The sequence below is a fragment of the Homo sapiens genome, chromosome 5, assembly GCF_000001405.40.
Source record: "Homo sapiens chromosome 5, GRCh38.p14 Primary Assembly".
In the NCBI taxonomy this organism is placed as follows: Eukaryota; Metazoa; Chordata; class Mammalia; order Primates; family Hominidae; genus Homo; species Homo sapiens.
Window position 1 is genome coordinate 29,975,763 of NC_000005.10, and position 26,503 is coordinate 30,002,265.

General features: G+C 35.8%; 1 long non-coding RNA gene across 1 annotated transcript, besides 1 other annotated feature; it reads right to left on the reverse strand.

Moving 5' to 3' along the window:
- Window positions 8,405-8,906: an enhancer, noted in NCBI's record as "NANOG hESC enhancer chr5:29984274-29984775 (GRCh37/hg19 assembly coordinates)". NCBI's record gives its function as "activates a minimal SCP1, AML or CMV promoter by ChIP-STARR-seq in naive H9 embryonic stem cells {active_cell/tissue: H9 hESC(naive)}" and the evidence as "EXISTENCE:reporter gene assay evidence [ECO:0000049][PMID:30033119]".
- LOC105374706 (uncharacterized) lies at window positions 13,369-26,453 on the reverse strand. The gene is made up of 5 exons (XR_925890.1): window positions 26,389-26,453; window positions 25,154-25,227; window positions 22,282-22,353; window positions 19,827-19,907; window positions 13,369-13,536 (listed from the first exon to the last, which is right to left on the reverse strand). It is a non-coding gene; the product is annotated as an uncharacterized LOC105374706 (long non-coding RNA).
- Between the last annotated feature and the right edge of the window lie 50 nt (window positions 26,454-26,503).

Consider the following 26,503-nt stretch of genomic DNA (forward strand, 5'->3'; position numbering starts at 1 on the left):
ACATAAATTCACAAAGGTATTTAGTCCTTAAATTTCAATTAGCATGAGAATTTGAAAATAAAAAGTGATTAACATTTAAAATGCTGAAAGTGTTATATTATTATTGGAGGTTCTATTCATTGGAAAATCATAATGGTGTCAGTTAACTTACTTTCAACCTACTTGTATGCTATTTTGGACATAATTAGGGAAGGGAAGTTGAATACATTCTCAGCCAGGTATGGTGGCATGCACCTGTAGTCCCAGCTATGCAAAAGTCTGAGGTGGGAGAATCTCTTGAGCCCAGGAGTCTGAGGCTGCAGTGTGCCACAGTGACATCTGTGAATAGTATAGACACTGCCCTCCAGCCTGGGCAACAGAGAGACCCCATCTCGTTAAAAAAGTACATTTTCAGCATTAGTCATAGGATGTATTTGTAGTTATTATAATTAGTGTATTTTCCAAGATACTTCAGAGCCTTCTGAGGGCTCTATTTCCCACTACAGATCACAGAAGCAACCTAACAGAGCATTAGTTCATAACAGAAAAACACCCTCAGGGTGCTGTGGCTGCCTTTCCCCAGGGGTGCTCATCTCATGAGGAGACCTGCTTAGGACACCATTGCCTGTGACCGTGAGCTAATCTTCCTAGTTTGGGAGTTGAGTTAAAAGGCTTATTATCACTTTTTTTTGCCTGCAATTTAGTCATTATCAACAATAAATTTAATCTTTTGACCTCCTCCTCACCTCCTCACATTTAATTCCCATAATATCCATTTGTTTCAGAACTTGGTGTATTAATTCTGTTAAGCTAAGACCAAACAATGCGCGCGCGCGCACACACACACACACACACACACACACATCACCTCATCCTACATATTCAAAGCAAGTTAGCGAGTATCAGTTCTTCATATCAGGACTCATGAAACTCCACGATGGGATCATGTAACTGCATCATCTGGAAATCAAAGGTTCTTCAATCACCATGGCAGGTCAAGAAACAGCTTGGAAACCAAGCACTAGAAATGTCATGGTTCAGCTTTAAAGTTACACAGATGATTTCCACTCACATTTTATCAGCCAGAAGAGTCACAGGGCCATACCTAACTTCAAAGTAGTGGGAGACATTCACAACGTCATTCACAAGGGCTCCCTTCTTTAAAACACTTTTTTTCCTCCTGCATCTTCTGTAAATTTTGCTAAACTTCAAAGTATATAGCAACCACTGACTGCAGGGAGAGGAGTCTGTGGAAACAAGATAAGGTAGTGTCTTCGTTGCTGTCTTCCACTGCCAGTGACACCAATCAGCTGAAGCTGTATTATGTGCTGAGACCAGCTGCCAACATTCAGTTCAAATGTGGAACACTGGTATTAATATATAGGTGAGGGTGGGTTAAAAAGCAGTCTCCAGATCTCCTGAATGTGTGACTTTGTTCAGCTAGAAACTTTTTTGGGGTGGCTAGCGTGGCCATGCCTGCACCTTCCTCTTTGACCTCAGAAAAAACCTAGGGCTCCATGAAGCCTGCCTTCATTTCACTGGGGGAACTTTATAATCTCGGTAGTGCAAGGTTGGTGGGGGTGGTGGGCCATCTTGGTATCCGTCCTCTGCCTACTTGCTGTGCTGTCTGTCATCTTTCTGTGTCTCCTCTTCTATGCCCCAGCAGTTCTAGGTGTAGCCTTTGGATGCCAGGGCTCATTAAACTCCAAAAGGAAATGTGTGTTTTTCTCTTTCTTAGAAATTACACTGCTTGAAGAGTCCCTCATCACCAAAAACCCTTGCTTTTCCAGAACTGTTTTGTATAATTGTTGACACAATATCGGATGAATTCTGAGGAATTTGGTATTTTTGTTTTAATTTTTTGCAATTGCTTGCATGAATTATTGCACTATGTTGTTCAGTTATCTGCTTTAGTCACTAAACTTCATGAGGTTAAAAAGATTTCTTATTGCTGGTAAACATAACAAAATTCAATATATCCTTCTAAGAATGACATTAGAATAGAAATATTTTTAACAACTGGAAATGATTGTATTATACTGTAAATTTATTTCATCCAGTTGTTTAAAATGATGATTGTGTGTCTCAGTGCATTGTCAGTGTTAATGTAAGACTCAAAATTCATTTTTAGGAAGTAGCAAAAACATAGGACTAGAGCTTTCAGATTGCATCATTAACATATAATATTTATATTTTAAAGCAACAAAATCATCATTGTAAGAAATCTTGAAGCATCAAATCACTATGTGTATCTGTAATTTAACGGACATTAAGTTGTTAAATATATTTATAAGCTAATAGAAAAATGTGTGGCAGCCTTTACACATTTAATTATACAGAACTGGTACAATATTTTGAGAACCAAAATAGTGTCACATAAGTTAAAATCTTACAAAAAAAAATAGAAAAGCTAAAGTGGCAATGGATAAAGTAGGAGAGAGAGGTGAGGAGAAAAAGAGGCAAGAAATAAAGACAGAGAGAGAGGGAAAGAGAGACTGGAGAAAGGAAGAGGGAGGGAGAGCAAAGGAGTATATGTAGAAAGAGAAAAAATAGTTTTGTTTTATTACATACAGTATCCTGATTAAGGGATTGGATCCATTATCATCACTTTACCAAAGAGGTTTAGGGAAGTAATTCTGTTTGCTCCACTTGGTGTTTATTAAAGAGGTAAAAAAGTGATCACACACTACTGTCAGCAAAAATTTAATTGTAGTAAAGCAGTGAAGCTTAAAAGCATTCATTTTCCTTGGCTAAATTATCTTCAAACTTGCAAGGGAAATAATCTGAGAGTTTGGTCGGAAGTCTTTGAATGACTGTGAAATAGAGGCCATTTGATTTGTCACAGAGACAGTTCTCATCTTGAATATGATTGCATTTCTTTATGTTTTGATCAGTAAATCTTGAAACCAGTCCATGTTTCAAAGACCTGTAAAGCTGAGCTTTTGGTGACTATAAATCAGATATGTAGGGTATGGTTCTCATACCATCATTGCCAGTGTGATTTAAAAATATCTGAAATATTCTAGTCTACCTTTCTACATAAATAGAAGACATAAAAATCTTTCATGAAGCCTCAACAGAAAACAGAAAGAGACATGTGCTTCCCTGTTTCTGATCCCTGCCTCTGTTCCATTTCTTCACAAACACACAAATCCACAAACACACGAAACAGATAGACTCAAGTACACACATATGAGAGAATAATGTTCTTTCTGATTCAATCAAAATCTGGACACAAATTAAATAGGCTACCTAAGCAAGGGTGACTCTTCAGTTAGTTGATTTTTGTTAATTAACAAACTAGGTCATTTAAGCTAATTTTCCAGGTAACAGTGTAGGTTTCCTAAGAGGATTTCAACTTAGTACGACAAACAAGGATGGCATGAAAAAAAAAAAACCAGAATTTATTATTTTAAAGTTTTGGATACTAGAAGTCCAAATTCAAAGTGTCAGGAGAGTCATGACCTCAGAGACGCTGCTAGAAGTGTACAGAATAGTGGAAGAATAGAATTATTCTTGCCCTTCCCTTGTTTTCAGTGGTAGTTGCTAATCTAATGTGTTCATTACTGAGCTTGTAGCTGCATCACTCCAAATTCGGCTTCTGTTATCACATAGCATTCTCACCTTACGTGACTATTCATGTTGTCTTCCTTCTGTGCATGTCTTTTGTCTCTCTTCTTTTTCTTTTTTTTTTTTTTTCCTTTTTTTGTTTTTTTGGAGACTGAGTTTTGCTCTTGTTGCCCAGGCTGTAGTGCAGTGGTGCGATCTGAGCTCACCACAGCAACCGCCTCCTGGGTTCAAGTGATTCTCCTGCCTCAGCCTCCCGAGTAGATGGGATTACAGGTGCATGCCACCATGCCCGGCTAAATTGTTGTAGTTTTAGGAGAGATGGGGTTTCATCATGTTGGCCAGGCTGGTCTCGAATTCCTGACCTCAGGTGAGCCACCCACCTCAGCCTCCCAAAGTGCTGGGATTATGGGCGTGAGCCACCACACCCAGCCGTCTCTCTTTTTTTTTCAAGGACACCAGTCATATGGGATTTAGTGCTTACCACACTCCAGTGTGGCCTCATCTTAAGTAATTACATTTGCAGCAACCCCATTTCTAAATGAGGTCATATTCTCAGGTTCTGAGGGTTAGGGCTTCTACATATCTTTCTGGAGGATACAGCACACTCAATTCCTAATAGCAACTGAAGCTTCTTCTTAAACAAAAAAGAAAATACTCTTATTTCAGTTATCATATTATAAAGTGTTCTGAATCCTATTGGAAACTTTCAACCTCTTTTTTGATATTTGTTGTAATGACTATTAAAAATAGCATAAATTTAACATAGAAATTTAAAAATATATTACAAAAAGTCTGGGCACGGTGGCTCATGCCTGTAGTCCCAGCATTTTGGGAGGCCGAGGCAGGAGGATCACCTGAGGTCAGGAGTTCAAGACCAACCTGGTCAACATGGTGAAACTCCATCTCTACTAAAATAATACAAACATTAGCAGGTATGGTGGCAGGCGCCTGCAATCCCAGCTACTTGGATGGCTGAGGCAGGAAAATCACTTGAACCTGGGAGGTGAAAGTTGCAGTGAGCTGAGATCGCACCATTGCACTACAGCCTGTACAACAAGAGTGAAACTCTGTCTCAAAAAAAATGAATAAATGAATAAAAAAATTAAAAAAGTATAATGAAAATAATCACGCATAAAGACTTGTTAATTATAATATTCATATATTTGTATTTATGTAAAAACATTTTTTATTATGCATACACAATAATATATTTTATGGTTGTGCAGCATTCAATCCATCCAGTTGTATTCATAATATACACCGACCAGCTGTAAGGTCTTATATTTAGAGTTCTTATTATAAATGCGTATCTATTTTTTCAAATATGACTTACTTTAAGCACTTTTGTAGTCTCTTTGAGACTAAGATATTTGTCTACATTTTACAGCATTTCTGTTTTTCTCTCTCATGGCTTTTCTTCTCTTTCTCTGATACCTAGCTTAGATTATATATTTATTTCAGTTTTACATTGTCGTTTCTATTCAGGACTGTGTACGTGCTGTCCATCCTCTCTTCCTGTAGCAGTTTCCCAAACTTTTCATATAACTACTTCTTTCAGGCCTCTACGTAACATTACTTTGTAGACAAGGCTTTCCCGCCTCCTTGAAATATGGTGTCTCAGTACCTGTATTGTAATAAAACCTATCACACAAATGTTTCTCATTTTATTTTTTGTTTTTAATACTGTAGAGGTAAGGCCTGTGACTTTTCTATCTACCCAGCATTCCCCAGCACTCATAATGTATTTGCTCAATAAATGTTCCTAGATAGTCCCTATTTTGGGAATTTCACTGTCATCTTTTCCCTTTCCAAGTCTGAATCCTAGAAGTCTACTTTATTACACTCCTTCTCCCTTAAGTGAAATATACATGTATACACACACACACATATATATACACACACATATATGTGTGTATAAATATATGTGTATGTAAATATGTGTGTATATGTGTGTGTGTATATATTTATATATCGTTTTTGCCTCTTTAATATGTCTTCCATATCTCATTTGTCTTTCTTTTGAGACAAGGTCTTGCTCTGTTGTACAAGCTGGAATGCAATTGCAAGATCTCAGCTAACTGTAGCTGCTGCCTCCAGGTCTCAAGCAATCCTTCCACCTCAGCCTCCAGAGTAGCTGGGACTATAGGCATGCCCCACAAGGCCTGGGTAATTTTTCTGTTTTTCCTTTTTCTTTTCTTTTTTATTTTATAGAGACAGGGTCTCTCTGTGTTGCCCAGGCTGATCTTGAACTCCTGGGCTCAAGAGATCCACCCACCTGGTCCTCCCAAAGTGCTAGGATTATAGGGGTGAGCCACCCCGCTCAGACCAATATCTCCGCTTCTTCACAGCCCTCTCACCACCTTAAGCCTTATTATCACAATCTCTTACTTGATCTATGACAGTACTCTGTAAATGATACACACTTTTCACACCTTTCCTGTTGTAACCCATTCTCAATTTTCTCAGGAGATACTTTAAAAATATTATTTAAATCATGTAATTCTATTGTTTAAAACCTTCAATGGCTTTAATGGCTTCTACTGCTTTTGCGATAAAGAGAAAAATCCTTCACGTTACCCATAGGTTTTGACTATAGCTACTGGGTTTCTGTCCAGGCAAAAGTCATTATTTCCCTCTTTGTTCCTACTTCAGGTATATGGATCTTCTTTGAGATCTCCAAAATTTTCATGTTGTCTTCTGACTTAACGAATTTACACACGTTGTTTTCTATAGAACAAATAATTCTGCCTGTTTTAATTCTCCATTCATACCTAATTCCAACTCATCCTTAACATATTGATTCTAAGGTCATGATTCAGGAAAACCTTCTGTAACTTTTCAGACTCTATCAGAGTCCAGTATTTTTGCTTTTAAAATATATTGCTATATTATAATACTGTTTATAGCATTAATTATATGTTTTCATATATACATATATATGCTTAATTTACTGTTAGCTTTGCCTCATAATATTCAAATGTAAGAAATGTAAAATTATTTTTCTAGAGCAAAAAATACAATGCTTCTATTTCCTACTGAGGCTTTTAGAGAATACCTCCAAGAAAGTACAAAGTTTGGATGAGATACTGAATTTCCAGATGCGCTCAAAGGCATCACTCACTGACAGCCACTTCTGACCAGAGACTGGGACAGAAATGAATACCTTTCCTGGTGTGCCCAAGGCCTTGGTATTAAGTAACTATCTATCTTCCACCTGTCTCTACAGTTATCCACCATGGAATGAGCAGTGCTAGACACAGATGCATTGGTCCTTACATATGGGAAAATGTGAAACTCACTTACCTTTTCTGGTCATAGGAAAGAAATTAATCATCCGTCTTGCCAGTTAAGTGTCATTATCTCATCTCCCAGAGCCAGACTTGCTTACTTCTCTCCCTGAGCCATTTTAGAACAGAGTTTGGCAGTGAAGTATGTGTGTTTGGAGATGGGGGGAAAGGGGAGACATTTGTTGACTTCTGGGAATCTTATGTCTTGTGATTTCAACTGTGCAAAATAAAATCTATTGTTTCTCTTCATCAAGGAACCCAGAAAAATAATATCAGGATTGTGTTTGTATCTTAGAGCACAGTAGTAAAAGTATTTCTTATTTAAAAATAAAATCCTTTGGGAATGTGTTTTTTATATCACTTGTTTTTGATTCACAATATACAAACGCTCATGGAAAAAAAAAGCAATACAAAGGGTCAAACCAGTAAAAATACACTCTTTTCCCTCATAGACTTAGTTTTTCTCCCCAAATGCAGCCTCAATACTAATTGTTTGTGTAGCTTTCAAAGACACAAGAATTCCCATTATCAGGATAGACATTTTTTTAATACAGTGACCTTTACAGAGAACTTTTCATATTAGGATCACATTCTTTATTATCTTGTCATTCTGTCCAGTCAAGCATTATCATTGTCATTTCCCCTCATTCCTGTTGCTACCATTTTCTGAGCCTTTTGAGAATGCTGCAATATAAAACATTTATCAGTTTCTCAACTATCCTCATTTCCTGCGTAGAATTCAGCATTCTTTGTTCTGTTAATTCTGTTACCACTTGACCATCTGTTTTCCAGCTCCCAATATTTCATTGATTTGTTACATGTTCCTCTGTCCTGCTTGCCTCCTTAATTTTATGCTTCTCTTTCTTTTTAATTATGTTTTCCTTAGTCGTTTTAGTGAAATTTTAGAGGGAGTGAAATTATATGCACATATTAAACTCACAGCTTGAACCTGGAATCTCTTCTTTCTTTTAATCTCATGAAGAAGGAGAATCAGTAATTTCCCTATAAATGAACAGACAGTAAATAATTTAGCCTTTGCCAGACAATGAGACTCTGTCACAACTCCTCATGTCTGCCTTTGGGCTTTGAAAGCAGCCATAGACAATGCATCAATGAATGAGCACAGTTGTGTTCCAACAAAACTTTATTTACAAAAGCAAGTGTTGTGCTAGATTTGATCAGCAAGCCATAAAGATTTCCCTGTACTGTAGCTTTAAGAACTAATCATTAATTATCTCAACAAATATTTTCCCCCACATCTTTCTTCCTTAATAGACATTAAACTCTATGAAAACAGGGACTCTAATTTCTCTGTCTCTCTTTCCCTCTCTCTCTTCATACACACATGCTCTCTCTCTCCCTCTCTCTCTCTCTCTCACACACACACACAAACACACACAGAGACACAAGGTTAGTATTTGGAAACATCAGAATGCATACTATGTAATCTTCATATGTTATTATTTCCATCCAGCTCTTATGTGGATGTTATTCCTTTGCCCATTTTGAAAACCAATTTAATTTAGTAATTGAATCTTTGCTGAACAGATGAGAAACTTTAGGAAGCAAGAGGATGAGTAACCACTTTCTAAATTGAGAACCTCTTTCCCCCTGTGGCAGTATGTATTTTCCTATCTCTATGAGGTTGGTACATAAAGATACACTAGGAAGAATGAGAGCTGAAATTTCTTATCTGAGCAGACCTTTTGCAAGATAGCATTGCACTATCTAGGGCTGATGTAAGTTTACAGCTAACCCATTCTCTTGTGAGTGCTTTCATAGTGTTATTTAGAGGATGTCCCACTGAGACCTTCTGACAACCCCAGGAATGAAAGGCAATTGCTCCTGGCTTATGCCATATTGTTGGTGAGCACAGAGCCTCTAACTGATGAGTCTTTATAGGAAAGTGGTTTTCTGCGTCACTATATGACATCTCAGCATTGCTGTTTAAGTGATAAATCTTTGTCTGAAACCTCATTTTGGCCTTTATTTTTCTACTTGTAGTGTTAGTTGAAATTTTAACTTAATTACCATTGCATGTGCATACCTATGCATACCCTCCCCAGTATATATCCACACTCACCCTTGCAGCAAAAGCCAAGCTAACAAAACACCTGATTTACAGTCAAACTTTTGTTTTATCCTAGTGTCCTAATATTTTTCAGATGTTTTCAGTTTTTGAATAATCTTTTTATTTTGTTCTGGGCTTAAATAATTTGCTCTGGTTTGTACTCTACCTTTCACATAATGTATTGCATGTAAACATTCTCTCCTTCCCTTCACTCAAGCAGGCTCCAGAGTCCGAGGATTTTCAGTGGCAGAATAGGGAGTGGTTCAGTCTTACATATTTTATCTCTTTTTCTAATATCTGGTTCTTCCGAGGTCAGATTTGACTAAGGGGAAGTAAAAACCATAGTAGCATGACTGTACTCAGCTGGCGCTATTTGCAACTCTCGTTTGGCTATGAGCATGCACTGTAATGACAGGTACCCACATGCTACATGTATTACTATTTTCAGGAGTTTTAGAGTCTCACCATTCCCACAACTCATCCCATATGCTTTTTTTTTTTTTTTTTTTTTTTTTGCAAGGACTTTTGGTCTCTTTATCCCATCAGTTCTCTTCCAGGGTCTCCCCATCTTGTTAGGTGGATGTCTTCACCCAGCTATGTCAAAGCTTGTCTTCTCAGCCCAAGAGACAACTCAGGTATCACTGCCAAGCTACAGTCTGTAAATGCTGGCTGCTCCTACTACCACCGCTCTCTCCTGTTCCTACTATTATGGGCTGTTTCAGATGGCATCCAACACTCAGGTTTCTCTTGACACAAAGCACCCACTTCTATCTCGGCAGTCCGACCCCAGAAAACTCCTGGAACAAATATCATATCATGCTTTCCCCCAAATTATTTTGACTCCTGGTGGGAGCATTTGGTGAGCTTATGATAATCTCCAGCTCAGCAAGTGTCAACCAGGAAAGAAGCCAGATGTCCCCATATGTGTAAGTAACATCCTTGACACCTGCTTTCAGGGTCCATAGAGCAGAAGAAGGACCTCAACAACAGAAGCATAAAGCCATGGGTCTGTCTACTCCCCTGAACTCTCCTCCAAGGTCATGGTGTGTCTACTAAGAAATCTTCTAGAAGCGCAAAATGGGATTGACTGGTACAATTTTGTCATCTTTAAATAAACACAGTGGCAGTGTCTGTCACCTCTCTTTAGAATGAACAGAGTACGTTCACTCATTGTCTTCAACTTTTAGAGGTATGAAAGAAACTGTGAACTGACAGGGAAAGACACATTTTGTCACTTATTACATACATTTCCACACTGCCTTTTGTTTTTTGATGATCTTATATAATAACTATACAATATATATAATATAATAAATGTGTATTTATATATTGTACATATAAATATATTATATAATATATACATATATACATATGTATATAAAAATACATATACCTATATATACATATATATAATATATATATATAAAATCTATAATACAGCTGTAGCCATATTTGTCACATTTCATCTTCAAGGGATTTAGTCTTTTTCTCATTCCTGTACATCGAATCTCAATGATATTTAATTCAGTTTAAAAAATGAAAGATTATTGACTCGGCACAGTGGCTCATGTCTGTAATCCCTGCACTTTGGGAGGCCGAGCCAGGAGGTTCACTTGAGGCCAGGAGTTTGAGACAAGCCTGGCCAAATCAGTGAAACTCTGTCTCTACTAAAAAAAATATAAAAATGAGCCAGGCCTGGTGGTGGGTGGCCTGTATTCCCAGATACTTGGGAGACTGAGGCAGGAGAAGCGCATGAACCTGGGAAGCAGAGGCTGAAGGGAGCCGAGATTGTGCCACTGCACTCCAGCTTGGGTGACAAAGCAAGACCCCGTCTCAAAAAAGAAAAAAAGAGAGAGAGAGATTATTTCACATTATTTCTAATATAATTTTAACCTTTTAAAATTATTTCATATTGTAAGTTGAATAATTATTTACTAATTGCAGTAAATATCAACATTAACTTAATTCAATTGTTAAAATCATATTTTTGAGTTCTATTTTTGGAGTCATAAGCAAAATGCTTGATAAGTGTAGTCATATTTAATTTTACAACCAGGGCACGAAACCAGAACATCCAGTGAAACCCAAGAATCCAATTATATTAATTTTGCATACTGACATGATTTGGCTCTGTGGTCCCACCTCAACCTCATCTTGAATTTTAATATCCACATGTAAAGGGAGGGACCTAGTGGGAAGTGACTGGATCATGGGGGCAGTTTCCCTCATGCTGTTCTCGTGATAGTGAGTGAGTTCTCATGAGATATGATAGTTTTATAAGGGTCTCTGTCCTTCACATTCTCCATTTCGTGTGCTCCCATGTGCTTCTTTCCTTTCTGCCATGATTATAAGTTTCCTGAGGCCTCCCCAACCATGCAGAACTGTGAGTCAATTAAACCTCTTTCATTTATAAAATTATCAGTCTTGGGTTTCTTTATAGCAGTCTGAAAATGAACTAATACACATATGAACAACTAATAAGATGGAAAGTAAATTTTTGGGATTCAAACTTTTCTCCTTAAAATGCAGTTGATATAGGGAACTTATCTTCTAGGCTTTAATACTGTAGAGAATAATTGCAAGATCATTGAAGGATAACTCTGAGGCCAACTTGATTTTTGCCTCTTTAGGTATGCATTTATTTAATTATAATCTTGGATTCTTGTGAGATTTTCTTCAAATGAAAATTTTATCTACATGTGTAGATCTGAATGTGTTTTCACAATTTTTCAGAAATATAATGAGTCTTTAACAAAAAATAAATATAAAATAATAGAGGAAAATAACATAAAAATTCTAACATTGCAAATAAACCAAAAATGATAGTCTGCCTTGTACTATTTTGCAACTATTCCAACATTCTTGTCTATAATAGGCTTTCTAAACCTTGGCATCACTGAGATTTTGAACTGGTTGGTCATTTTTGTGCAGAGCACACTTGTGTGTTGTAAGATTTTTTTTTGCAGGATCCGCTGCCACCTAACCAATAGGTGCCATTAAGATCAATCCTTTCCTTCAAGACATGATAATAAAAAATGTCCCTAAACATTGCCACTGTCCCTTGACGGCAAAATTTTCTCCCCCAGTTGACAATCTTTGCTCTGAGCATAAAGATTTTATGTGCTTCGTGCTTCATTTTTTTAAGATGATAAAATGATTTTTTTAAATAACAAGAACATATACTTTTACCTCAATTTAGATACATCTTCTCCTACTTTCCATTACATCTTATTTTTATTGTGTTATTATTTTTAATAATAGTCTTACATTTATAGCTTCTATAATATAGGTGCCTTCCTTGATTCATTTCATGTAGTACCCATAACTCCTACATCCTCTTCACCTCTCCTCCATTTTACCTCCACAATTCTAAGATGTTCTATTATTTTTGTTTTTAACAGCATTCAGTGGTTTTAGTCGAGAGAATTATTTAAAAAATAAATTTCAAATGTCTTACAAATCACCATTCATATAACTGCTGTTGACATAAAGAAATGGCTATACATGATTCGAAATTCAAACAGTACAGAAAGGTACATAAAACAAAGTAAAAACCTTCATTTATACAATAGTTCAGTGTCTTTTCACAACAGAATCTGGTCACCTTGGATAGGAATTTGATATTGCAGAAACAAACAGATAATCGTGTACACATACAGAGTAAAATGCAATTGAATTTCTGTTGCTTGAAACAGAAATACCAATATTGAGGAGAAATGAATTATCTTTTTCATACTCCCTCAAGTGCTTAAATCCTAGTATATTACTATTTGTTTCATTTTTTGTCTGAGACATCCATGACTACCTCTGTGAGGTCAACAGCAGCCTACTTGGCAGCTGGTGCAGGCATAGAGCGGAGGGATTTATAAATAGGTTAGATCATTTCCTTATCACTCAGTCTGCATAGGGAACACCATGAGAAGGTAAAAGTATGAGTTTGTGGCAGGACTTGGTATGGTTGTAAGTCGAAGATATCAGATAATTTTCTGTAGGTTGTTCATTTTTGAGTTGCTTCAGGGTATGTCGATATTGATAAAAGGTCTGAAGTTACAGACTCCATCAGTATCCTCCAAGCCAAAACAGCAATCATTTCCTTAAAAGAGGACAACTATGTCCTGAAATTTTGAGTTTCTATTGTGATTCTTCTATTTGAGTGTGGCGACAGGATCCACAAAGCATCCTGAGAATCCACCAACCTCTTCAAGAAGTTTTGGATTTCCAGGGACCCCACAGTAGAATCACAGAGATAACTACTCTATACTTGACCAGCTGATAGCCATAACATGTTCTGGTCTTCACTCAAATCTGTGTCATTTGCTTTGCTTTCATTGCTAAGGCAATAATGCACGAAGTTGACTCAAAAGAGCATATCAAGTCTTATTCCGGTATTTTATTGGTGGGGTAACAAAGTAAATCAACTTGTCCTTTATTAAGACGAGAATAACTTGGTAGTGGCTTCACACTTACATAGCACCTTGCATCCCAAAATTTCATGGAGATAGTGGAGTCTGCTCTATTCATGGAACTGAGCTCTTGTTCTCTGGTGTATATGTGGAGTAACACTGTGTTTAGATTACTCGTTACTTTTCCCAGTAAAAACCGGCATGGTCCCTTCATAAAGGTGGCATTCTGTAAAACAGTAAGATATTTAGATCCCTAATCACTAAACTGAAATTTAGAAATAGAAGGCTGACTTATTCCAGAGGTAGAATTTGTCACAATATTAATCCTTCTGCTACCCTCAAAACCTCTGTATTTTTTAAAAATTCTACCAAGACCAGAAATCCTATATAAAGTGAGCATAAATTGAGTTCTCCAGAGCACTTCATCCAAGAAAGACCAATCAATAAAGAGCATTTCAAAATGCTGAGGCTTTTGTCACAAATCTACAGGTAAAATATTTGTTGAAAGATACTTCAGAGTACTTTAAAGAGATATTATTTGAGGGTGAATATACAGTATAACATAATGAATTCCTTACTTTCCTAATTCATTAGATTATTTTGCCTGCATTTTGTCAGAGATTATCTGGCACCTCAACTTATTTTAAGTAGGGTCAATAATTAGTCCCAGTTTTCATGAAACAGCTAAACTAAATGTGAACATAATATTCAGTTTTCAAGTAAGCATTCCAAATGTAGACATGCTCGTATATGAAACTATGTTAACACATTAACACCACTTTAAAATATATTTCTCTGGATTTTTGGTGGTGGTGGTTGGTATTGCTCACATATTCTCAGATTCCCTACATTTGTGTGACTATATTGAGGCTTTTTTGGTGTGAATGTCTTCTGCTTGTGAATTTTTTTTCTAGACTGCGTTTTACAATGAAGGCATGCTAGAATTTTATTGTAGCTCTTGACATGGTATCAGTGAGAGATGGGACACAAAGAGAATATTCGTTTCTTGTTTTGAGAAATTACCTTTATGAGAGACTACCCATTCAAACAAGAAAAGAACAGTGTAGTAAGGCTAAAAACACTGCTTCCCTTGGAGAAGTAGTTAAATTGGTGAAGAAACAGATATTCAAGAAACAATAGCAGTATTTATTTAAAGCACAGAATCAGAAAACCATGAGGCTGTTTAACTTGGTTGGGAAGATTACATGAATATGAGCAGACAGATATTAAACTGAAAATATGGATTTAGACTTGGTATTAGAGGATTTGAATAACTTTTGTTATTTTGGTTAGCAGACAAAGATTTTGAACAGAACTGTGCCTAGAATTATTATTTTAGGAAATTAATTTGACAAGAATACGTAGGATGAATTAGAAAAGTAAGAAAATGGAGACCGGGGCACAAATTAAGTAACTAAACAATATCCCTGGTGAGAAGCAATGAGGATACTACTGAAATAGTTGCAGAAGGAATGGAGAATAGAAGGTTAACACTAATCTCCGGTCTCTTGACTATTTATAGACAGGTGCAGTTATTAAGTATCTGCCCTTTAAATTCTGGGAGTAATACTTTATATTCATCCACTTAATATAGAATTAACCATAATGCTTTATTAAACTTAACATGGGATTAATAATTAAATATGTAGCTAAGATACTCATCTCGGTCAAGATAGGGCAAAGGAATAGGCAGAGTGGGTGAGGGGAAGCTTAGTAAGAGCTTCGCAAATGTGTGAGGACACTGGAATCATAAGGGGGATTTTTAAGAAGGAATAGTGAAGAGATCTGAATGTCACTGGAGAAAATGCAGACTTAGCAATTCTGAAGAGATTCTGTGACATATTCATATTTGCAAAAGATCTCCATGTGAGGCTGATGCACAGTCAAAGCTTCACCAATCTACAGCTAGATAGGCTAATGAGGAAGACTCACAAAGAAACGTACACCTAGAGCAGACTTCTGTGGCACTCTGCTTTTCCATGGATGATCTGTCTCCACAGGTTTATTCTGTTCTTATATGAGATTCTGTTCTGTAATATACACTCTGTTGCTCCTGACTCTGGCTAGAGCTTGAAAATCTGAACTTCATGTTTTTGTGTACATCTTGATAACCAGTCATATATTTCTGAACTGATGGACATTAACTTCATGGTAAAATGTCAATTTTACCCAAGATTCTTCTTTCTATCATCAGGAAATTCAGATTTAGTAAACTCGTATGGCCTTCTGTAAAGAAATTTCGATAAGATCGACACTGATGACTACCTCAATTGTGGTTAAATCAGGAAAGATGTGAGTCTCTTTAGAGTTTCACAAGCTAAATTAAATTTTTATGACAATGATTTTTTGCAAAAGTCCATTTACATATTTTTGTGTCCTTAGTGTAAAAGTATAGGTGTATCTCCTCTCTTTCCCTTCCTCTCTCTCTCTTCACCCGCTCACATCCTCTCCTTCGACACACACACACTTGCAGACCTTCTAAAGTTTATTTTATACACTGAAATAATTAATTCACCTCACATTGTCTAGCAATATCTTTCCAGAGAATGGTTTATATGTTTGGACTCACCATTAATCTCATCAGGTCAACTGATAGCAGAACTATTTTACTGGAAGAATTGCCAAAAGGTAAAATTTACCTTTTGTCTTCATTGAGATAAATTAAATTAATTCTCTACCTCACTTTTTTTTTTTCGGCTTGATCTTGGAAAAACTATTATTTTCTCTAATGCAAGAATTGCTAACCAGTGTTTGTGGACTGACTCTGTCAAGGAGATGTGTTTTTATTGGCTAGATAAATATTTAATAATGTTTAAGTTTGGAAGTTTTTAGATGCAGCATGAAATCTCCAATTTAACACAATTCCTATCACTTCATATTAGATTTCACTTGGATCTCCATGTACGTATGTTTCTTGACTTATCTTTAATGGAATTTGAGCTTGACAGACCTAATCTAAAACTAGGTTTACATATGAACTACAAAAAAGGCTAGTTATTTTAAATAAAAGTTATTATTATTTACATGCAGTGAAATGAGTCAGTTTTATGTGCACAGTGTAATGGGTTTGACAGATGAATGCATCTATATATTTATCACCACAATTAAGATACAAAGCATTTATATCACTGTGAAAAGTTTCCCTTATTGCCAATCTCTTCTTCACGGCCCTGGGCCCAAGTCAACAATCCTCTATTGTCTGTCTCTATAAATCAGTTATTCTGTTCTGGGATTTAATGTAAATGGTATCATAGAGTGAGTATTATTTTATTCCTAGTTTTTAAATAATCATCATTTTATAAGTTGCATCCACGTTGTTATGTTTATCAATAATAGTTTATTCTCTAATGCTTAGTAATGTTGCATCATCTGTTTTTAATTATTTACAAGTTGATGAGTGCTTTGTTTCTAATTTTTTGTTATTATGAATAAAACTGCTGTGAACATTTCCATCAGGTCTTTATGTTGACAGTGTATTTATTTTTCTTGGAAGCCACAAGAAGTAGTTTTTGTGTCTCTTTTATTTTCAAATGGTCCAAACTCTGTTATTTAAATTAATTTCACTCTTATAAGCATCTATTTAGCAACTATTAGGTACCAAGCACTCCAGTAGAATCTGTAAGTATACAAAATACTAAGTCCAAATTATTGACATAGGGAAATAAATCCAGGAGAATAATCCAACTTTTAAAAAAATTACCAAATGGTACACTATTTCCAAAAGAATATTTAAAGACTGTTATGGGGGGAGGAAACTTTCACAAAGGAAATGTCAATGTAGCTTACAAAATAATGTGAGAGATTCCAGTTAGTGTTGATGCAATGATGGAAAAAGTAGCACATTGTCTTTAGTGAACTGCAATAACATTGGTAGGCAAGGATATATACTCTAAGTGAAAAGCAGACAGGTATTAAGTTTAGACATGAAGCCAGACCTTTTGAATCTCATTTTGAAGCTGAGCTCTTAGAAAATATTTTACACATTAGAGTGAAAAGAAAATTAGAGTTTTGTTTCAAAGGGATTGTGCTGGTGGCAATAGAGCAGTGTGATCTGAAGGAAGTTGAAGTTAGGAGCCAAACTGTTGCAAGAATTGAGGCAGCAATGGGAAGTTTTGTTGACTGATTACATGTTCTAGAGAACAGACCAAGTCCTAAATTTCTGGTTGCATAACTGGTTACGTGGAGATGCTTTCAATGAATGTTTTAAAATATTAAATGATTGGTATACAGAGGCAAAATTACTTATCTTCTTCCATTCTCATAAGCGTTGAGAATCCTGTGAAACTTTTGGGTGATTATGTCAAATAGGAATTTGGTTGTCCTGATCTGAACCTCAGGAGAGGGCTCTAGACTGCAGAGGCAGATTTCAGATTAAGAAGACTGCTAAACGTGTGGACGTGAATGAGCTAATCCAACCAGTGGGTGTAAAATGATGGTAAAAATGATAATGAGAGAACCATGGTGAAACTGACCAGAAAGGCAGAAAGGGTGAATTGCAGTTGCAGATAAGAGATGGAAAAACAAGCAGAGAGGAATATGGTGAGCCATGAGCACTGGTGTAGAAGCCAAGATAAAGAAAGATTCAAGAAGAGGGAGAAGTCAGAATATTGTTGAATGTTGTTGTGCTCGTGATTTTGTTTTTAAATACAATAATCAGGAAATGATAACTTTCAGTACATGCTATTCCAAAATATAGCACCCTGGCACTTGAAAAAACAGCAGAAGAAACAAGGTCTCTCTGCTCTTCTCCTGTCCTTCTCTCCTGAAGCAGGCCCTAAAACACTTATCCGACCTTCCTCTGAAGTAGGTTATAAAATCTTCATGTGAGAGAAGAACCTATAACCAGAGAAAAAGGAATATATCTCCGAGGATACTAAGAAGTATCTGAACAAACAGGTTTTGCTAAGTTCCCCTCATTTATTACCATTAGATTGCAGCCCCTTCACCCAATCATACTTCTGCACAACTGCCCACACTTCATCAAACTTAGCATAAAAATATATAGGGTTTCCTGTTTCTTTCAGCCTTCATTTCTGAAGATGCAAAGCTTATGTTAAATAAATTTGTATGTCCCCTTTTGTCAATCTGTCATTTGTTATGGAAGTGTCAGCCATGAATCTTGTGAAGGGTAAGAAAAATCTATTACTTTTACTTACCTACAGAAGTAATTGTTGAATCTATAAAGAAGAGGCAAGAATGAGCTTCACTGAGATGTGAGAATCAGGCACTAAAGTGGAAATATTAAACAAAAACTTCCAATTTAAATAAGCTTATTTGTGACTTAAGAAAAGATAACCCCTAGCTTAACAAACAGGGCTGTGAACGGTCTTCAGAATGAGAGTGATTCGAATATGATTATATTGTGAAGAATAAATTGAATAAAAATAAGAGGAAACAATTAAACTAACATAAAAATGGGTTGCCATGTAGAGCAATTAGTGATATTAAACTTGGGTAGGAAGAAAGTCATCTCTTTTTCTTAGACCTGTGGTTCCCAAAATGTTCTCCAAACAGTAGCATCAGCACCTCCTTAGGAACTTTTAGAAAAGAAAAATGTCTAGCTCCTCCTCGGTTTATTGAATAAGAAACTCTGGGGTTGTGGGGTAACATTCTATTTTTTAAAATTGTCTCCAGGTAGAATATTGTTGCACAATAATGTTTGAGAACGCTGAATTGAGGGAAAAGGAAGGACAAAGTTTGTGAGATTATAGAGACTCCCATAGGGATAGGCTGACAGATATCATAAGCTCACAGAAATCATGCTTACCAGCCTCAATGACACCTGTGAATTTGACGATGAGGCCAGGGATAAAGAAGACATAAACATTTTGAGAAAATTGGTGAAATAATTCAACATTCACTCCCTCTAATGTGGGATGAATCAATCTGATGACTGGACATTAAAAATTAGTTTTAAGAGACTCTTGGTGTCTACTCTGACTTCAAAATAGCATAGTTCTTCACAGTTATGTGATTTTTTTCTAGAGCAGTTTTTAGTGACTTTGGGTAAGAGCAAAAACTGGGGGCTTTATCTTGGGGAAATATGACAAAAAAATACAGACAGTTTGAAATATAACACTAATGATTATGCCCTCTCTTCACAGTGCTCTAAATCTTGGTATCTTAAAAAACTGTGACAACTTTTGTAACCTTCAGTTTCATGAGATGGACTAATTAGTATGAGTGGTGAGGCCACATGGGATTTAGATTCTAGTTGTGAGACAGACTAGTTGTAAAGCATGTGATTTCCTTTAGTTAAATTGCTTGTAGCTGTAAGAACTCATGACAATACTTGTTATGGTACTGTGTTATCGCTCCACTCCAGAGCCCTGAATGTGTCTCCACTGAAATTGCAAGCAATAGAGTCTTATTTGCTTCATTAAATACTGTACCAGACTGGACTTCTTTGGGAGATATGTTTATTTCCTGCAGGAAAGGCTATGAAGATATAACTTTTGAAAGCCTTATACAATATTTAAGGGACTATGTATTAGAAAGTAGACAATAACTTCTTACCTCATTGCTGTGAAATTATTTGCATGCTTCCTTATTTAATGAGTCACTAGATTCAACTTGCCTTTCAAAATCAAAATATTCCTAGAGAGTTAACAAAAGAATTTCAATAATAAGCATTCTTCATTTTCTCTTGACATTGGTTCATGTAACAGCTTGGGGAACTTTTTCTCCTACACTTTACTAGGCAAAAAAAGTTATAAATATGAATTTTATGTAAGCAAAGTTCAAAAATAGCTAAATCTTATTACTATGCATAACTAGATTAGAGGACTCCTGAAAACACACTTTTTTGTATTCAAATTCTACTTTCACTGTTGTTATTGATGCCGTTTTCACAGCTGGTCTTTCAAATTCAGGGAAAAAATGAATAACTGAAGTAGTTTAGTTGATAAATTGTGCCTATTCCACTCATTTTATTCAATCAAGAAAATATTTAGTGACAAGATGACGGCTGGTTAGTAGAATGTCAATTCATCTAAAATAAGTGAATTAAGCTGCATGTATTTAGAGCCCATGTTGGATTTCTTCATTTTCCAAACTGACATTTAATTGACATTTCCAGCATGAAAGGTAATGATTTTTTATAACAATCATATTATGATGATGATTGCTTCCACATTCAATGTGTTTCAATTTACACATGAGCAATATGAGAGTGTCCTTAGTAAATTACAGCCTCTCCACATCTGAGGTAGTTTCAGGGTCTCAATTATTCACAAAGAACTTATCAGCTAGTGAGAAAATAGGGCTCATTTTCAAATATCTATATTTAGATCACCCAAGGATAGTGGCCATCAAAAAAAAGAGAAAGAAAATAACAAAGTTACTTATGCATATGTAAACAATAAACACACACTGTAGAATATGATTAAGTAAATAACTGATCCTGAAGGACGAGAGGAAAGTTAAGAGAAAGGCAAACAGGTAGTTTGCTAGTATAGTAAGCTTAAAACAGTTAATGCTTCCAAGGAGTTATTTTTCCAATGAATCTTAAAAATTCTTTTCACTTATTTATTTATTTTCAATTTAACTTTCTTTTCCAAATCTTAGTTTGATTCTGGAAGTAAAATGAAGCAAAGGGAAACACCATGCTAACAGTTTCAAAAAACTCGGAGAAATAATGCTACTTAACAAAAATCTTACAATAGATTTTCATTGTCACAAATTATTCAATCGTATAGGAAAAACATAATATTGCACAAATACAGCAGAAAGCAATAACATTCTTTTGTGTTTTCTTACTTTGCTTTTATTCATAGTTGCTGAGAAAAATAATAATCTATTAAATCCATACACTTTGCAGCATTATATGAGTTTGATTTTATACTTTTTATTTTAGCCAAAATATTTAATATCTTTATAATTATTTTTTCTTGCTTGAGAAAAAAAGTTACACAGTTACTAGAACATATATAGCATATATGATATAATTTACCTCCAAATGTTTTACAATAGATTAAATTCTAGTCATCAACATCATTATGAGATGTTATTACATTCCAGGCTCTTTGCTAGGCACTAAGGTTATGAAAGTTAATTAAATGGTGTGGCTTACAAAGTTTTCATAGAAGTGTGGGTGATAAGCATATAAAGTATGGATGACATCAAGTCTAAGAGGCTTATTAATATGGATGGATAGAAAGGAAGGGGGGTGGTTCTGAAGGAGCTGAAAACTTTAAGAAAAAGCTTATAGGAAGTTGATATTAATTTCCATTTTCCCTCAGAATAAATTATATATTTAAAAAATGTTTGATGAATCCTTTCATGATCTACAAATCACAATTATTTTTGCAATTTCTTCCTTCATTATTTTTCAATAGTATTAATTGTATATAATGTATATACATTTGTATGCCCATGCATACATATACACATATATGTATACATTATGAATCTATACATTTTGCATCAGATGCCATCATTTTGTCTCAGATACTATCATTTTGTGTTAGGTATTATGCAAGGAACTAAAAATAGCGAATAAGGCAAAATTTTCTTCTGGATGAACCTTTTATCGAGTTACTAGCGTTCAACTGGAAATGAATACATGCCATGGGATATGCAAAACATTTAAATATGGTGTAGAAAGAAATGTTACAACTTTTATTTGCAAATGTTTTATATTAAAAAGGAGGAAATCGAGGGTACATACTGAGATCAGTGTCCCCATGTAAGCCCTAGTCCAAGTGACACTTCTCATGTTCTCTGCCTCTATTACCTGGAGCCAATAGAAATCCTCATGGACAATTAACTTTGGTGCCATTATTCTGTTGAATGCTCAAGTGTATGTGTGCCCAGTTAAATCAAACCTTGGATCATTTTTGCTCAAACTTAGCTATTAAACCAACACAAAGTTTAAAATGCCTTACATAGATTTTAGTTAAGGAACTGTGATTTGATGACACTATTTATAAAGCAAACACAAGTGAAATAACATAAGTTTGACAGAACTGACCTTTTTCCTATTGCATAAATACTCTTGTCACCAGCCACAGAGTTCATCTGTCCCTTCATGGTAGAGGAGATTCTGTAACAATAAAAGAGAAGGGAACTGTTTTACAAAAGCAAATTGTGCTAAAAAGAGAACGTTATGTAAATAAATATTTAGACTTTTTGTTTTGGGTTGACTTTCATTATTGTCACATGTTGGCTTCTCAGCAGACACTGAGATGCTGAGTTTTAGGTATAAGATAGCTATTAGGAAACAACACCTTTGAAATGAAGCAGAAGAGGCATGATTGGGTGAAGAGAAATCAAACTGCGATTCAAAGCCTTGGCCAACTTACAGGGAGTTCTGGTGACTATTTCTCATCGGGATTATCTTACACCTGTACAATGGCAGAATCTCAATATTCTTGTGTCACTCAGTAATCAGATGCAGGCTGACCCAGAAGAGTGGAACCTTTGGTAAGGCAGCTTCCTGCAACTGACACAGACCCTAATGGCTCATAGTAGTTTTTAATTAATTTTTAAAAAGACATAATAATTTTCTATTTAGTTTGTGAGTTTGTTTTTGTTTTGTTTTTGTTTGTTCATTTGTTTGTTTGAGATGGAGTCTTGCTTTGCTGCCCAGGCTGGAGTGCAGTGGCAAAATCTAGGCTTACTGCAACCTCCACCTCCCAGGTTCAAGCCATTCTCCTGCCTCAACCTCCTGAATAACTGGGATTACAGGTGTGTGCAACCACGCCAGGCTAATTTTTTTGTACTTTATTTACTAGAGATGAGGTTTCACTATGTTGGCCAGGCTGGTCTCAAACTCCTGATCTCAAGCGATGCACCCACCTTGGACTCCCAAAGTCTTGGGTTTACAGGCGTGAGCCACCACACCCAGCCTAGTTTGTGGTGTATCTTAATTGATGAGAGTTAAAAATCTAGGGCCAACTGTAGGAAGCATATCATTCTTATCGGTGAAAACAGAATTGGCAATATACCTGAAATCCATGATAGCTATGAAAAGAATTGTATGACTGAAAAATCTGTGAAACCAGATTAATAGTTTATATGGTACTGAGAAAAGAAGTAGCCCAATCAGGGTACTCAAAATAAAAAGAACATGTTTTAAATATTATAGTCCATTTTATTCAACATAATATTTACACATTTCCTCATCCATTTGTCCTCAAAAGACTATTAAGGTTATAAGGCCAGAAACTAAATTTTATTAACACATATGTCCCAACATAACACGGTGCTTTACATACAGTATGTACTTCATAAATATACTTGGAACAAATTAAAACATGGGAATGAAGTACATTCACAAAATATGGAAGAAAAGACACATTTTGACTAATGTTTACTATTGAAATGTCACTAAAATGATACTGAAGGAAGAATAAAAAGCATAAATCCTCATGTACTAAGAAATATGAGATAACAAGAATATCAACAATTTTTGAAAACGCAAAGTAGGTTGATGCATAGAAATCAAACTAGAAAGTTCAAGAGTGAAAACTATGTGCCAGGTGGAAGAAATCAAGATTAAAAACTACTTTGATCAAGAGAAACCCAGAAAGACTCTGGAATTTGGAGTACCTAGCATGTTCACTGTAAGTACAGGTGGTGCTAAATTCATTATTATGATTTTAGGTCTCAGAGAAAACATTTGAAAGTCATCACTCCTGTCCTTAATACAAAAAAAGACAGAGGCCGAGGCGGGCAGATCACAAGGTCAGGAGATCGAGACCATCCTGGCTAACACTGTGAAACCCCGTCTCTACTAAAAATATAAAAAATTAGCTGGGCATGGTGCCGGGTGCCTGTAGTCCCAGCTACTCGGGAGGCTGAGGCAGGAGAATGGTGTGAACCCGGGAGGCAGAGGTTGCAGTGAGCCGAGAACACAGCACTGCACTCCAGCCTGGGTGACAGAGCAAGACTCCATTTCAAAAAAAAAAAAAAAAAAAAAAGAAAAGAAAAGCTAGACAAATTAAAAAGTGGTTACTTCTTTTCTTGGATTCATCATAGAACAGGTCATACAGCAAACTACCACTCTGAAATCTAGAAAGACAGTCTTACTTAAAGAAATGGAGCAACTGAGATCTGCTTATCTAGGGCCAAAGTTCCTGTAACTATAAACTGCTGGGTGCATGTAAATGGTAATTTAAATTAATTCTGGAGACTTGGTATGAACTGGCATGAATGAAAAATGCCTAGATTCTTATTTGTATCTTCATAGTTTCATAGGCTTCCCCTCCAGGAAGTCATAGGTTTTGATGGGATCCAAGAAAGATCACTTCTTCTCTCTGGCATAGGAAGAAGAGTGACTATTGTGAACAGTGCCTAGTGCCTTCTCCAGAATATATGAGTAATCTCCAGGGAAAAGGGCTTTACAAGAGAGCAATTCAGAAATTTTATCCTAGCTGGGAGAATGAATCTCCTCTTCACACAAAGCTTCTCCTGCTATTCTAGCTTACCTAAGGGGGGAAGGTTAAACAAAATTACAGACAATAAGGTTCCAGACTTCAAGAAAACAGAAATAGAACATTCTTACTGGAAAAAAATAGTATGGTACAGGGGAGGGGAAAGGGAGAGCATTGACAGAATACTTGTGAAATTAAGGGAACCAAAACAAAGGTCTCTAAAAGACTGGGACTTAAAAGAATATAGAATATTTCCCCTACCATACATCTCACCACCAAACCAACAAGGCTTCAATATAACAGTGAATTACATATTTTAAAAGATTAAAGAAACAAATTCTACAAGAAGAGTACATATGAAAACGCAAGAGAAAAAATAAAAATATGAACACTAGAAAGATCTTAAATCCTTACCTATATCTTTAACAAGCATTAAACAGAGCAAAATCTCTGGCTAAATTTACATACCTCATCACATTATGTGTCAAATTACTTCACTTCCTGTTGTCTTGTGCAGCATGTATGGATTTCAACAATAATATCTAAGGCATAAAGAAAAACAAGAGAAAAAAACAATTTGGGAAGACAACTCCATGATGAAAACAAGACTTAGATAAGACATAGCTGTTGAAATCATGAGACAAAATATTTAAAACAACTGAGATGAATGTTAAGGGCTGTATTAGAAAAATAGACAACATGCAATAACAGATGGATGACTTAAGCAGAGAGATGGAAAGTCTAAGGAAGAATAAAAAGAAAGTGATAGAAGTGAAAATCTCTAAGCAGAGATGAAGAATGCCTTCAATGGGCTCATCAGTAGCCTTGACAAGGCTTAAGAAAGAATCAGTTGGGTGCGGTGGCTCATGCCTGTAATCCCAGCACTTTGGGAGGCCAAGGCAGGTGGATTGCCTGAGCTCAGGAGTTTAAGACCAGCCTGGGCAACATGGTGAAACCACGTATCTACTAAAATACAAAAAAAAAAAAAAAAAAAAATTAGCCAGGCCTGATGGCGTGTGCCTGTAATCCCAGCTACTTGGGAGGCTGAGACAGGAAAATCGCTTGAGCCTGGGAGACAGAGGTCGCAGTGATCCGAGATCGCGCCACTGTACTCCAGCCTGGATGACAGAGCAAGACTCCATCAAAAAATAAAAAAATAAAAAAAAAAGGAGGCGAAGAAGAAAGAAAGAATCAGTGAGCCTGAAGATGTAATAGATCAATAAAAAAATTCCCAAAATGGTATGTAAAGGAAAAAATAAATAAAAATGTAAAAACCTAGGAGATTCAAGAATCATTACACAGTATCAAAAATGTATTATATGCATAATGAGAAGGGAGGAAGGAGAAAGGAGGAAAGAGAAGAAAGAAATAACAAAGCAGAAGAAACATTTGAAGTGAAAATGACCAAGAAATTTTTTAAGTTAATTTCTGAAACCAAACCACAGATCGAGAAAACTCAGAGAACAGCAAGTAGGATAAGTATGAAAAAAAAGATCATATCTTCACTGCAGAAAACTAAAGATAAAAGGAAAATCTTGAAAATATTCAGAGGTTATGCAATCATCCATCTACAGAGGAAGAAGGATAAGAATCACAGCTGGCTTATTGCCATAAAGTGTGTAAATAAGAACAGAGCATAGTGAACTATTCAAAGTGTTGAAATAAACAATTTCAGAAAATAGCATTCCAGGCAAATAAATTACCTTTCAAAAGGGAAGGACAAATCAATTTTCTGAGAAAAAACGTTTGATTGCTAGTGTATGTGTCCTAAAAAGAAAAGTAAAGAAAGAGATTATTCAGGCAGGACAAAAATAATAT